At 37.9% G+C, this 15,170-nt stretch overlaps 3 annotated features.

Moving 5' to 3' along the window:
- Positions 512–1,012: an enhancer, noted in NCBI's record as "NANOG-H3K4me1 hESC enhancer chr13:61284323-61284823 (GRCh37/hg19 assembly coordinates)". NCBI's record gives its function as "activates a minimal SCP1, AML or CMV promoter by ChIP-STARR-seq in naive H9 embryonic stem cells {active_cell/tissue: H9 hESC(naive)}" and the evidence as "EXISTENCE:reporter gene assay evidence [ECO:0000049][PMID:30033119]".
- Positions 1,013–1,513: an enhancer, noted in NCBI's record as "NANOG-H3K4me1 hESC enhancer chr13:61283822-61284322 (GRCh37/hg19 assembly coordinates)". NCBI's record gives its function as "activates a minimal SCP1, AML or CMV promoter by ChIP-STARR-seq in naive H9 embryonic stem cells {active_cell/tissue: H9 hESC(naive)}" and the evidence as "EXISTENCE:reporter gene assay evidence [ECO:0000049][PMID:30033119]".
- Positions 14,275–14,811: an enhancer, noted in NCBI's record as "OCT4-NANOG hESC enhancer chr13:61270524-61271060 (GRCh37/hg19 assembly coordinates)". NCBI's record gives its function as "activates a minimal SCP1, AML or CMV promoter by ChIP-STARR-seq in primed H9 embryonic stem cells {active_cell/tissue: H9 hESC(primed)}" and the evidence as "EXISTENCE:reporter gene assay evidence [ECO:0000049][PMID:30033119]".

The raw sequence follows: 15,170 nt of genomic DNA, 5'->3' as shown, positions 1-15,170 counted from the left end.
GGATAATATCCTGCAGAGTGTTTTCCAACTTGGTTCCATTCTCCCCGTCACTTTCAGGTACACCAATCAGACGTAGATTTGGTCTTTTCACATAGTCCCATATTTCTTGGAGGCTTTGCTCATTTCTTTTTATTCTTTTTTCTCTAAACTTCTCTTCTCGCTTCATTTCATTCATTTCATCTTCCATTGCTGATACCCTTTCTTCCAGTTGATCGCATCCGCTCCTGAGTCTTCCGCATTCTTCACGTAGTTCTCGAGCCTTGGTTTTCAGCTCCATCAGCTCCTTTAAGCACTTCTCTGTATTGGTTATTCTAGTTATACATTCTTCTAAATTTTTTTCAAAGTTTTCAACTTCTTTGCCTTTGGTTTGAATGTCCTCCTGTAGCTCAGAGTAATTTGATCGTCTGAAGCTTTCTCTCAGCTCGTCAAAGTCGTTCTCCATCCAGCTTTGTTCCATTGCTGGTGAGGAACTGCATTCCTTTGGAGGAGGAGAGGCGCTCTGCTTTTTAGAGTTTCCATTTTTTCTGTCTGTTTTTTCCCCATCTTTGTGGTTTTATCTACTTTTGGTGTTTGATGATGGTGATGTACAGATGGGTTTTTGGTGTGGATGTCCTTTCTGTTTGTTAGTTTTCCTTCTAACAGACAGGACCCTCAGCTGCAGGTCTGTTGGAGTACCCTGCCATGTGAGGCGTCAGTGTGCCCCTGCTGGGGGGGTGCCTCCCAGTTAGGCTGCTCGGGGTCAGGGGTCAGGGACCCACTTGAGGAGGCAGTCTGCCCATTCAGATCTCCAGCTGCGTACTGGGAGAACCACTGCTCTCTTCAAAGCTGTCAGACAGGGGCATTTAAGTCTGCAGAGGTTACTGCTGTCTTTTTGTTTGTCTGTGCCCTGCCCCCAGAGGTGGAGCCTACAGAGGCAGGCAGGCCTCCTTGAGCTGTGGTGGGCTCCACCCAGTTCGAGCTTCCTGGCTGCTTTGTTTACCTAAGCAAGCCTGGGCAATGGCTGGCGCCCCTCCCCCAGCCTCGCTGCTGCCTTGCAGTTTGATCTCAGACTGCTGTGCTAGCAATCAGCAAGACTCCGTGGGCATAGGATCCTCCAAGCCAGGTGCGGGATATAATCTTGTGGTGCGCTGTTTTTTAAGCCTGTCGGAAAAGCACAGTATTCGGGTGGGAGTGACCCGATTTTACAGGTGCTGTACATCACCCCTTTCTTTGACTAGGAAAGGGAACTCCCTGACCCCTTGCACTTCCCAAGTGAGGCAATGCCTCACCCTGCTTCGGCTTGCACATGGTGCACGCACCCACTGACCTGTGTCCACTGTCTGGCACTCCCTAGTGAGATGAACCCGGTACCTCAGATGGAAATGCAGAAATCACCCGTCTTCTGCATCGCTCACGCTGGGAGCTGTAGACTGGAGCTGTTCCTATTCGGCCATCTTGGCTTCTCCCCCTCAATTATTCACTTTAAATGTATCAGTTTTGAAACTGATTGAGAATGCTTAACATCTTTTCAGAAAGGCAGTAGAGTATAGTAGTCAGGAATATGAAGGTATGAGTCAGACAAAGAAGGGCTAGAAGTCTAGGCTGGCAACTTAGTGTAAAATGGGCAAGTTATTTAACCTCTGTGGGCCCCATTTCCCTCATCTGTAAAACGATAATACTGCCTCATAGGTGTTTTGAAGACTGAAAAAGTGAATGGCTATTTAAGCCACTTAGCATAGTGGCTGGTACAAATTACATGTTTAATAAAAATATGTTTGCAAAGTTCACTACATCTTTATAAATATTCAGTAAGATTTCAAATATGTAGCTGACATCAAAAATTATTTTATAGACACATTGATATTGACTGAGCATCTACTTATGTTCCAAGTACTATTCTAATTATGTGAATTACAAAGAATAATGCAATCTGCTTCCGTCCAATGAGGAATCACTGTAATATTCATCTACATAATGGACTCCTTGGATTATATAAAAGTACTCCTACTCAATAAAGACGATGAGAAAATACAGATGCCTGATCATATTGACATTGCCAATAAAGACAATGAGAAAATACGAATTCCTTCTCCTAACTTTCCATTCAAATACTAATGAATAGACAAGGAGGAATGAAGAATTTCAATAGCTCTAGAGACTAAGAATATTGAAGAATAATCTGCCAGATATTAGCCAAATGTGTCATGAAGTCCTGAGGCAGAAAGCAGGACCTTAATGGAATGAAGGAGATAGAGGAAGAGGTTCCATCCAACAGCTCCTACTGGATAGCTCTTCCTCTCCACTAAAGCTAGAGAAATATTCTGCCCCTATGCAAGGGCTTTCTACGGTCATCAACACCACTTCTCTTTCATTTCTATCACCCTTATTATCTCCTCCACTCTTTTTTCTTGCTGTGTGTACTATTTGTCCTAACTTTTTATCTTGAAGGAATTCTAGACTCATGTAAGAGTTGCAAAAGTAATTCAGAGAGTTCCCATATACCCTTCAACCAGCTTCCCCTAAGTGCATTGGTACAATATTATTAACTATGCTACAGACTTCATTCAGACTTCACCACTTTTTGTCTGTGAATGTCCTCTTTAAGAATCTAATTAATATTGCATTAAATTGCATCAAGTTGATACTGCAACTCATATTGCATTTAGATATCATGTCTTCTTAGCTTCCTCTAATCTATAGCTGTTCCTGTCTTTCTCTATCATGATCTTAACACTTTTGAAGAGCATCAGTCATTTTGTAGAATTTCTCTCAATTTGGGCTTGTCTGATGCTTTTTCATGATTAGATTGAGTTAGGAATGGTTGGAAAGGATACCAGAGATGTGATATGCTCTTCTCAATGAATCATATCAAGGGATACATGATATCAATATGCCTTAACTGGTGATGTTAATTTGATCACTTGGTTAAGGTGTTGTCATTTAGGTTTCTCCACTGTAAAGTTACCATTCTCCCATTTGTATTTAATAAATATTTAGTTTCAGTCTCCCTTCATCTTTATTTCTCATATTAGAAATTCTCTCTTTTTCTCTGGTACTTCCAGTTGCATTTCACATTGAAGCTCAACCATGACCTCATGACAGTCATTCCCCAGGTCACTGGGAATTTATGGAATGCACAGTGCTTCACAATAAGACAAAGGCATGCAAGTATTGTCTCACCCTTTCAACTGCAAGTTACAGAAGCCAAGAGCTCAAACCAGTTTAAGCAACAAAAGGAATCTAATAGTGGACTTTTGCAGAAATAGTAAAATATTTGGGCTCAAGTGACACCATTAAGGCTCTTTCTCTTCTTCTCTCAACTCTGCTTTTCTCTGTGTTCATTTGGACCTGCAAAGTCTCCCTCCACATGGGGTGGAAGATGACTCACCAACAGCTCTACATTCACACCCTGTCAACCTAGCATCGTGTGCACAAGGGCATTTCCATTTCTAGATATTTGTATATCAGTTTGGCAAATTGTTCTATTTGCCTACTTAACCTTTGCAGGACCACAGCTAAACCAATCCCTATGGTCTGCAGAACGGTTTACTCTGTTCATGGATTTTTATTTGATTTTCTCTGGGGTCTCTTTCCTTTTACAATGAACATGCATCAGTCTTGAAATTACACAGTAATTAATGAAATAATTACTGTAGTGGTTAAATAAAATATATTTTAAATGAGAAAAAAATGTTCATTTTAAGAACTCATCAATACTTTGAACTTCTCATCTACTGGGTCTCAGAGAGTCTCAGGAGATGTCACGAGCCTTTGAGGAGGTAAGAGACTCTATTAGGAGTACCTATTGCTGTGATCTTTTTCTACTAGGAACTAATAATGTGCCCACCACTACAAAACAGAATTCCTGAGAGGTGATGGTGAATGTCAGCACTTTTAAAAGAGCTCAGCCTGAGAGCTGAGCTCTCCTCTTATGGCTCGATTCTCGGAGACCATCATCCCTCTCTTCTATCCCAGTGTGACTACATACAAGGAAAAAAAAAAATACTAAAATCTCACTGTCTGCTTAACATTCATTTATGGGCTGAGACCACAGCTTTTTTAATAATATCCTTTGTTAAAGAGAAAGAGTAGCAACTGCCCACCAGAAAATTGAATAAAAAACTTGAGGAGCCAGAAAATCTAGGCAGCAGCTTAGATCAATCACAGACTTTTTATGACTATGACCTTGCTGGGAGGCTCATCTAGGGGGAAAATGCTTATCCAGAAGAGATGAAAAGTAGCCTGTAAGCACACAACTTAGACGATTCTGGGATACTGTACTTTAAGAACTATTGACACAATAATAATTCCTTGGGAATTCTCCTAAATAATGGCATATCCCAGCAACAGCAAAGCCAAGAAGCTATTAAGGGAGGTTGTTAACAAGCACTACCAAGGCCCAGGGAAGGCTACACATTTGCCTATGGATCCAGTAGCTTTTATTATTAAATCGAGAACAGGACAGTAGCTATGCTAGGCCCAGATATTTCAGTTCAAATTGTGTCTCCACATCAAACAAAATGCTAGAGCTTTCCTAAAGTCAGCCAGAATCCCTATAGCATCTGGTAAATTTGAATAATGCATGGATGTAAAAAGATAATTTAGACTTTAAAAACACAAACAGCATTGACTGTTAGACATTTAATATTAATTTGCTTCCCCAAAGTAAACCTACATTAAAAGAAATCAAATCTAATATAATCTCACGTTATATTTTTTGAAAGCACAGTAGTACACTATGTGGAATCATGCATAAATTTATTCATTGTTAGTAGTAGTTTTGTGCAGTTGAAACCATAACCTAGGCTTTATTTCATATCTTGTTCCATGCACACTATGGAGATGTTTTTGGATTTATGCAAACTAGTATACTTGATCCTCAGAGGCCAAACATATCTACATTATGGTTCATTCAAATTCTCCTGGCTAATTATGTAATTACTTTAATTAAGCATAATTAACTATTACTTAAAAATAACTTTAATTAAGTCACTATAATTAGCTAAAAGGGCACTGTGATTTTTAAGGGTTTCATAACAAATCTTTTGTTCTTGCATCTATCTCCTTGAGTGCAGCAGATTCCCATTACTTTATTTCTGAACTCTTTCTTGCTTTAGGTAAAGAAATGGAAGTAAGTTAATCACCATCAAAAACCAACATTGAATTAACTTGTTTTTGTTACCCTAATTATCTAGATGTTAAATTGCAAGTGGTTTCTGGAATATTGAGTTTATTGACTTTTATGAACTTAGATGAAACTCATACAGTAAATAAAACTCCAAAAGCAGAGGACAATTAAAGCACAAAACTGTTTTCTTACATAGGCGTTTAGTGGTGGTGATTTTGAGCTTTTTCTAGTAAGTACCTTAGGTAAGAAAAAGTAGAGGAATATGTCATGTACAATCATCTTCTTCCCATTCCAGAGATATTAAGTAGTCTCATAGACAAAGCGTGGGGCTTGAGAAAAAGATAATTCCAATTTCATATCCTGGCTCTTCCTTTAACTTGCTGAGTAAAGTTAGAGAAGTTCCTTTAGCTACTTCAATTTCCTTTTCCTTATTTTTTGTATTCTATTGTGAGAATTCAATGAGATAAAGTTTGCCAAGTACTTAGGACTCAGTAGACACCCTAAGAATGTTGCCTTTCCTTCCACTTTCTTCATTCTTTTTCTTTTAGATATCAGCTCAAGATCTGAGTGAAGAAACATCTGAGATGACGAAAGGACCTCAAATTTATTTATTTATTGTGTTTATTTACACACAAAAACTGTTCTCAGAAAAAAGTCAACCATCAACTATCCCAGGTTCCTCCATTTCTAACTACATTTCACTCTAACATTCTCTAGAGGAGGACTTTCTCTTAATCTAGGTCTGTGGGCCACATCAACTTTGGGGATTCTATAGATCCGCATGATTTTTTTTTGGTCATTTAAAATATTTAACTTTTAAGTTCAGGGATACATGTGCAGGTTTGGTACATAGGTGAACTTGTTTCATGAGGGTTTGTTGTACAGATTATTTCCTCACCTAGGTATTAAGCCTAGTACCCATTAGTTATTCTTCCTGATCCCCTCCCTCCTCACACCTTCTACCCTCTGATAGGCCTTGGTGTATGTTGTTCCTTTCTACGTATCCATGTGTTCTCAACATTTAGTTGCCACTTAAAAGTGAGAACATGCAGTATATGGTTTTTTGTTCCTGCATTAGTTTGCTAAGGATAATGGCCTCTGGCTCCATCCATGTCCCTGCAAAGCACATGACCTGGTTCTTTTTATGGATGCATAGTATTCCATAGTGTATATATACCACATTTTCTTTATCCAGTCTATCACTGATGGGCATTTAGGTCAATTCCATGCCTTTGTTATTGTGAACAGTGCTGCATGTGTCTTGATAATGAACATACATGTGCATGTATCTTTATAATAGAACAACTTATATTCCTTTGGGTACATACTCAGTCATGGGATTGCTGAGTCCAGTGGTATTTCTGTCTTTACACGCAATGACATACATAGGCTAAAAATGAAGAGATGGAGAAAAATCTACCAAGCAAATGCAAAACAAAAAGTAGGGGTTGCAATCCTACTTTCTGACAAAACAGACTTTAAACCAGCAAAGATCAAAAAAGACAAGATCATTACATAATGGTAAAAGTTTCAATTCAACAAGAAGATCTAATTATCCTAAATATATATGTACCCAACACAGAAACACTCAGATTGATAAAGCAAGTTCTTAGAGACCTTAAAAGAGACTTAGACTCCTACACATTAATAGTGGGAAACTTTCACACTCCACTGACAGTATTAGAGCATCAAGACAAAAAATTAACAAAGATATCAGGACCTCATCTCAGCACTGGATCAAATGGACCTTATAGATATCTACAGAACTCTCCACCCAAAAATACATGATTCATATTTAAAATTGTAAAAGTATATAGCATGTGTTCAGGGGGATAGTGTATATGACTGTGCAATCTTGGACGCACACCATTTTTCTGGGATAAGTAGATTTAATCAAATTCTCAGAGATCCATAACCATTGATCTAGAAAAGTTCAAGCTCCTTAATGCAGCCAAAAATCTCTTTGACCTCATTGCTCATAATTCCCTGCCTCGCTCTCTCACTCCAGCATCACTGAACTTCTTACAATCTTTCTACAAAACATACCACACTTGGTGTCTTCTCTGTGCTTGGACCACACAATTCCCTCTATGTGTAGTGCTTTCTCCATTTCAGCTGTCTCTAACTGGTAAGCTTTTTATCACTAATTAAGATTCATATGAAAGAAGAGTCACCTTCTCCCAGAAGAATCCCTTCGTGACATAATCCTCAATCCCAAGCACTGCAGCAAAGACCAAATTAGGCATCTCTCCTCTGAGCTGCCATGAGGGAGATATGTATAGTTCCTACACATATCTGCATATTACAGTCCTGAATACATATTCATCATTGCTTTACCAAATGTTATTACCATTGCCTGATTATGTGTCTGTTTTCCCTACCTGGCTGAACTCCCTTAGGTTAAAAGATAGGTGATTTTATAATCATCAGAGAAATGGCAAATCAAAACCACAATGAGGAGCAGCATCTCACATTAGTCAGAATGGCTATTACTAAAAAGTCAAAAAAAAAAAAAGATGCTAATAAGGCTGCAAAGAATAGGGAACATTTATACAGTTTGTAGGAATAAAAATTAGTTCAGCTACTATGGCAAGCAGTTTGAAAATTTCTCAAAGAACTTAGAACTACCATCCAACCCTGCAATCCCATTACCGGATATATATCCAAAAGAAAACAAATCGCTCTCTACATGTGCTCTCATGTTCATTGCACCACTATTCACAATAGCAAAGACATGGAATCAACCTAGGTGCCCACCATGGGCTCAATGGACTCAACAAAGAAAATGTGGTACATATACACCATGGAATACTATGTAGCCATAAAACTGAATGAAATCATGTTCTTTGGAGGTTATTATCCTAAGTGAATTACCACAGGAACAGAAAACCAAATACTACACGTTCTTTTCTTATAAGTGCGCACTAAACAATGGCTACTCATGGACATAAAGATGGGAACAAAAGACTCTGGGGACTACCCGAGGGAGGAGGGAGGAAGGGGAGCAAGGGTTGAAAAACTAACTATTGAGTACTATGCTCAGTACCTGGGTAACAGGATGATTCATACCCCAAACGTCAGCATCACACAATATACCCATATAATAAACTTGCATATGTACCCTACGACTCTAAAATAAAAGTTGAAAAAAAAAAACAAGAAGTAATTTTCATTGTTGTATGCACGTTGTCTAGTATAGTGTAGAATAGAGAAAGCACTCAAATACTTGTTAAATTAATAAATAAATGAATGGCAATATATCATAGTGGTTAAGAGCAGTTAGCTTTGGGTACACAGATATGTGGGTGCCCATCTCAGCTCTCTGTCCTACTATGTAGCTTTAGGAAAATCATCTGAGTCTCAATTTCTTCTTCAAAAATAAGAATGACAGTGCCTACACTACAGGACCGTTGGCAAGACTATAGGTGATGATGCATGCAAGGTATATGAAGTGCTTGCACATTCAGAAGTAATGGGGGTGAGGTGGAAGTGTGTATATGTGTGTACACATGTGTATGTGTAATTTCATGCTCTAACGACGAATCAAAGGCTAAAAATGTTATTTGGGGCATTGACACTTTTTCTTGTTATATCACAGAATCAATTGTCATTTCCTGGGAGATATTTAAGAAAGAACCTATATTGTCTTGTGTCATGAACAGGAATCAATGTGAAAGAGCAAGAAAAATCTGGGCTTTGAAACCAGAGCAAATAGATTTCAATCTTGAATCCACTAGTTTCTAGCTAAGAATCTAGAAAATCACTAAACTTTTCTGAACCTCAGTTCCAATTAAATAATAGCTAATTTCCATGAATTAAGTGAGATGTTGCAGAACAGATCACCCACTATCGTGTTTGCACTCAGCAGGCAATGAGTAAGTTTGATCTTCTCTCCTATCACTCCTCCTTGAACTCAATTATGAGCTCAATGGTAACCACTCTGCACTCACTCTCCATGTGCACAGCCTATCTGCGAAGGCTCAGGGAAGACATTAAAGGAGCCTGGGGCTGAGTACAAAGCCATAAATCCTGATTGACGAAAACCCAGGCTAGTCTATTCTGTCACTCTTGTTCTATCCAGGATATTAGGTGGCTGTAAGAGGATGTTTAAAGGAAGAATAATGATGAAACAGGACTCAATGAATTAGTGTATGAAAACAGAAAGGACAGGAAAGTCTATGATTTGTTTCCCATAATCTCATGATTTCCTCTCATGCAATGACCACAAAGCACATAATAGCTTTCAAATCAGTCTGTCAACTCCTTTAGGGCATATACACAACACATTCTCCTAGTTTCTTGATTCGTTGAATTCTCAGGCTTTGTTTTTTATTGTGTTTTTTTTTTTTTTTTTTTACATTTTGTGTTTTATTTTTATAGATTTAGGGGTACAAGTGCAGTTGTGTTACATGGATATTTTGCGTAGTGCTGAAGTCTGGCCTTCTAGTGTCACCATCACACTAATACTGTACATTGTACCCAATAGGTAGTATTTCATCCCTCAGCCCCCTCTCCTCCTCCCATCTTTTGGAGTCTCTGATGTCTATTATTCCACTCTGTATGTCCATGTATACCAATTGGTTAGCTCCCACTCATAAGCGAGAACATGTGGTTTTTAAGACTTAGTTTCAAATGAACTTAGCTTCAAAAGCTCTTTGAAACATTCTTCCACTTCAAGTTTTAACAAGTGAACTTTAATTCTGTTTGTAAATTATGAGAATACAATCTCTTGTTTCTTCATCATAAATTCTTCTTCCTTCTTTTTACAAATAGTGGCCAAGCAAAGAAAAACAACGTCAAAGAGCAACATGTCTGTTAAGGACATTCTCACCCTGACAGTTTCTTTTACTGCCAGCCGCTTTGCTCAGTGTTGGAGTGTGAATCACGGAGTACTCCACGCCAAAAATGCCTGATCACTGTCTCTGCCTAGGTCTCTTTCCCTGTGTCTGCTTTTCTACTCTGGTAAAAATGTGCTGGACAAACACAACTACTCCCTCATTTACTCTCCAAAAAAATTTTTTTTAATGTGGCCCTGGAGATAAAATGGCAAGCAAAAGCAGATTCAATATCTGCTATTCAGTAGCTCATAGTCTAGTAGAGAAGACAGAGGTTAACCAAAGAATGACATTAATAAGAGTGTTTTAATTTAAATTTGATGTCATTTTGTCCATGGAAAAGAGAAACTGAGTGCTTGGGCTAGTATTACATGCCTCAGCCTCAGTCATTGTTGAGAAGCAGAATGAAGAAAAAGAAGACTCAACATGCTATCAACTTATGAAGGCTAATTCTATGCATCAACTTGGTCAGGCTCTATGGTACTCAGGTATCTGATCAAACATTAATCTAGGTGTTGCTGCGAAAGTGTTCTTTAGATGTGATTAACATTTAATATCACTGACTTTAAGTAAAACAGAAAACCATCTGTAATATGGGTGAGACTCTTCCAATCAGTTGAAGTTATTAAGAGAAAAGACTGAGGTTTTCCAAAGAAGAAGGAATTCTGTCTCCAAACTGCAACATAGAAATCTTGCCTGAATTTCCAGCCTGCTGGTCTGGTCTGCAGATTTCAGACTCAAGACTTTGACATCAACTCTTGCCTAAATTTTCAACCTACTCTCCTGCACTAAAAGTTTTAGACTTGCCAGTTCCTGCAATTACAAGAGCCAATTCAAAAGGACTGCTTTTTTGGAGAGCCTCGACAAATACACTACCCTTTGCCACAACATGCACACATGCACACCCCCACACAAATGCACACACATCCAGCCTGGGCTACAAACCAAAAGCCCAAAGCCTAAACATCAAGATGCTGTCTCTGCAGTGGTGACTCAAACCTGATCACAGAAACTAATTTTGACGTCTTCCAATGCTGGATATCAAACCAACCCAGGAAAGCATCATGGCCTAAGTAACTCTACTAAGTGGAAAATTTCCTATTGTCTCAGAGGTTCAGCTGAAACCCTAAAGCTGTTAATGGTAACATATAGTTTCAAACATCTAGAAGGAGAATATTAAATGTTCCCAACATGAAGAAATGATAAATGTTTGAGATGGTGAATACAATTACCCTAATCTGATCACTATACATTATATGTGTTAAAACATCACCAAGTACCCCATAAATATGTACAATTATTATTTGCCAATTAAAAAAAATATAAAATTATACAACTTTTAAAGGGTGAAAAAGAGATGAAGAAATAGTATTTCTAATAAATAAGTACATCTTTAAAATTTTTTTGTGACGTCATCTCACAGAAGGCAGCTCTGCCAGATCACAGTACCCCAGTTGAATAAACCTTTGTCCTTTTCCTCCAAGTTGCGGCTCCCCTTTCACTCTGACCCTAAAGGACCCAGAAACAGCAGAATGAGTGGGGTGGGATTAGGACAAAGATGCTTGCCCCACTCCCCATTGCAGGCTTCTGAGCCTGGGAAGAGAAGAAGCTTTAAATTAGACAAATAGGACTGGACTTATAAATACACAACAGGAAGCTCACTGAAGAAGTTACGGATTTGCTGCATACTCAAAGAAATGTTGAGTATGTAGCAAGATTCTATGCTGAAAGGATAGTCTTTCCCTCTTTGTGTCAAACTTTGCTCCACAAAAGTGCAGCTTCATTTGCTATTTCCTCTACTCAGCATGTGCCCCAAATTTCCATCTTACTCAATTTTTCTAGACCAAATGATTTCCAGTTATAATTCTGTCTTACCCTAACATAATTTTAAGGCATACTTAAATAAAATATACTACCATTTGGAAGTACAGATAAAAACTCATTTTTCTGCATGCTAATAATTATGTCTGAATAACTAGAACCAGTAATAGAGGAAATAGTTTTAATATCTTTTAACCAGGAAACAGGAAAGAAAAATGTGCAGAAATCATTTACTAATGCTTTAATCTAACACATTACCTGTATTTAATGAATAAAAATTCCTATGAACACTTTCCTAACAGCCTAAGACTTAAAGCCAATCAGAAAAATAAATATAGCTACACATCCACACAAATTAATAAGCAATGGTTGTTCTTGTATTATTCATGCAACAACAACAGAATAGAGAGAGAGAGAAAGAGAATGCTATCAGAGCAGACTGTCTTGTACCAGGAGAAATTCGGAGTTCTAAAAACACGAAGATATTCAAAATAATGGTAAAATGAGTAGAAAAGGTAAATTTGGGTAATAAGCAGCTATTCTTCTAATTAAAACACAGTAATAAAAATTCTTTTTATAGCCCTTTAAATATTTTCATTTAAAGAGTAAAGGGCAATGAACCAGATACTCTAATAATCCTGGCTCTTCCATTTACTAGTTAGAACACTTTAGACTAGCTACTTAATCTCTTAGGGTCACCATTTTACTCATCTATAAAAGAAAATAAAATGGGTGGACTAGATCACACAATCTTTAAAATTCCGTCTAAATATAATATTCGATAAGTCAATTTCATACCTTACCCTCCCACCTTCTTAAAGTTGCATCCTATTTCTCTTATTCCACCTCCTCTTCCTATGGTAAAGGATGTTACGTGATGACAGAGATAGGAAGCAAGAAGGCTTGCAAAGAATGTAAATGGAATCTCAACATCAACTGTATCCTGATTGTACTGGTTTGTGCTCTTTTGTTATTTTTGCCAGTCTTCATTTTATGGGGCACCCTGCCGGAAAATAAACTTGCTTGGTTTTTCTCCTTTGGACTAGTTAGAGTGGAGGTACTAGAAAGTCTCCAGTGGTCACTGTTACAGAGCAGATCTCCTCTGATGCACTAAGGGGAGCTTGCCCCTGGAGGGTGAATATAGGGCTCTTTAGATTTAAGATACAGTTGTTCCTAGGATGGTAGATAGAAAACAAAGGACAATCAGACCCATTTTTCCTGCAGTTTGAGAAGAGAAATCTATAAATTAAATACAATTTTAAATATGATCTGGATGTGTTTGTCTAATTTTAAATCTTGACAAGCTGATTCTAAAATGTGTGTTAAAACACAAAGAAACAATTTTGAAGAGAAGAAAAGAGGAGTCACTCTATCTTGTAGCAGGTGTTATTATAAATAAAACTATTTGAAGACAGCAAGATATTGAAACAGAGAATAGAAGCCCAGAAACAGATGTTTCCACATTTGGTACCTTGATATATGAAAGAAATATCATTGGAGATCAGCCAAGAAAACATGGACAATTCAATAAATGGTGCTCAGATAACTGGTTAGCATATGGGAAAAAAGTTGGACTCCTTTCTCACATCATGAATGAAAATAAATTCCAGGGGCTTTAAGGACATAAAAATTAGCATTAAACTTTAGAACATTTAGGTGGGAAAAATAATAGAATATTGCTTTTCAAAACACCAAAAACTGAATCATAAAGAAAAAGATCAATAAGTTAGGCTACACTGCAATTAGGAATTTCTGCATATCAAATGGCAATATTAAAAGAAAAAAAGTCAAAACATAAATATCTGGCTGAAAGAAGACTGTAACCAACTCAGCCTCGAAGAGATCAATATCTACAATGAGCAAGCCAATAGAAAAACATGGGCATTGCCAGGTGCGGTCATTTATGCCTGTAATCCCAGCACTTTGGGAAGCTAAAATAGGAAGATCATTAGAGCCCAGGAGTTCAAGGCTGCAGTGAGCTATGATCGTGCCACTACACTCCAGCCTAGTTGACAGAGTGAGACCCTGTTTCAGAGTGAGAGAGAGAGAGGGGAAAGGAAGGGAGGAAAGGAGGAAGGGAAGGAAGGGAAGGGAGGGAAGGGAGGAAGGGAAGGAAGGGAAGAAAGAGAAGGAAGAGAAGGAAGAGAAGGAAAGGAAGGAAGGGAAGGAAGGGAAAGAAGAAAGGAAGGAAGAAAGGAAGGGAGAAAGGAAGGGAGAAAGAAAGAAATATGGGCATGATATTAAAAGGTAATTCATAAAAGGGAAAACTCAAATAATCAATAAATATATGAAAAGATGTTCAACCTCACTAGAAATCAGGGAAGTGTATAAAAAACTAAAACAAGTTGCCATTTTATACCCATCCAATATTATCAAGTGCCGAGAAGACCATGGCACAATAGGAACTCATACCCTATTCTTAGGAGTAAAATCAGTACACTCACGCCTCAGAGCAATTTCACAATACCTAATGATTTTGGATATGCACAGATCCTTTTTACCTAAAAAAATCGTGAAAGCAGAAAAGGTCTGAAATTCAGAGAAAACAATGAATTCGTTTTGGCTGGTGCTCATGTGAAGATGCATCAGATGAAATAAAATTTGTGGTTTGGCACGAGATGCTCTTTAATCTGGCTGCAGGCTGTATTTCCTACTCAAATGCTGTTTCATAGGCAATGAGGATCACTTGAAGACTGATAACCATGAGAACAGCAAACTCAGAGCAGAGCTTTGGGAATTCAAACTTAGGACAACAAAGAGACCTCCGAATGATTTTAAACTGAAGAGTGACATGGTCCATTATGCATTTAGAAAGATCACTCGGGCAGGAAATGGGCATTCTGTTTTTGTGTATTTGCTGCCAAACAGAAGTGATCCTCAATAACAGGGCAGGGAAAGGGCAAAGGGACAAATGACCAGCAGAAAACAAGAGGTGGATGGACCACACTAGAAGAAGGTAAATTCTGAGATTTTTTCCATATGAAAAGTTTGTCTGACACAGACCATATCACTGGAGAAATTTATTGGTGAATATGAAGAAGAGGAGCTGCTGTGGGACTCAGATACTGCTGCAATTTTTTACTTTAACAAAACTTTCCCTTTATGATAAAGCTTCTTCCTTTTTGTCAACGGGCATGTTTGATATAAGAATTATGTAAGTAAAAATGTTTGCCTTGTTATTACTTAGATATTTTTCACAGTCCAGATGTCTGCATAGCTCCTAAGAGAAGAACCCATAGGAAAAATGCATCAGCGCCTGAGAAATGTGAATGCAATAAAAGTAATATATATCTACCCCAATCGCACCTTGCAAAGGAATCAAGCTCCTTTGATTCATTATGACTTAATAATATTCTTTACAGAGATCTGTAACCAAAATAAATTTTCAGAGTCCAATGCCCATAATA

Source organism: Homo sapiens, chromosome 13 (assembly GCF_000001405.40).
Source record: "Homo sapiens chromosome 13, GRCh38.p14 Primary Assembly".
Lineage (NCBI taxonomy): Eukaryota > Metazoa > Chordata > Mammalia > Primates > Hominidae > Homo > Homo sapiens.
The sequence above is the reverse complement of the archived record's forward strand: the minus strand, read 5'-3'. Positions and strand labels throughout refer to the sequence as shown.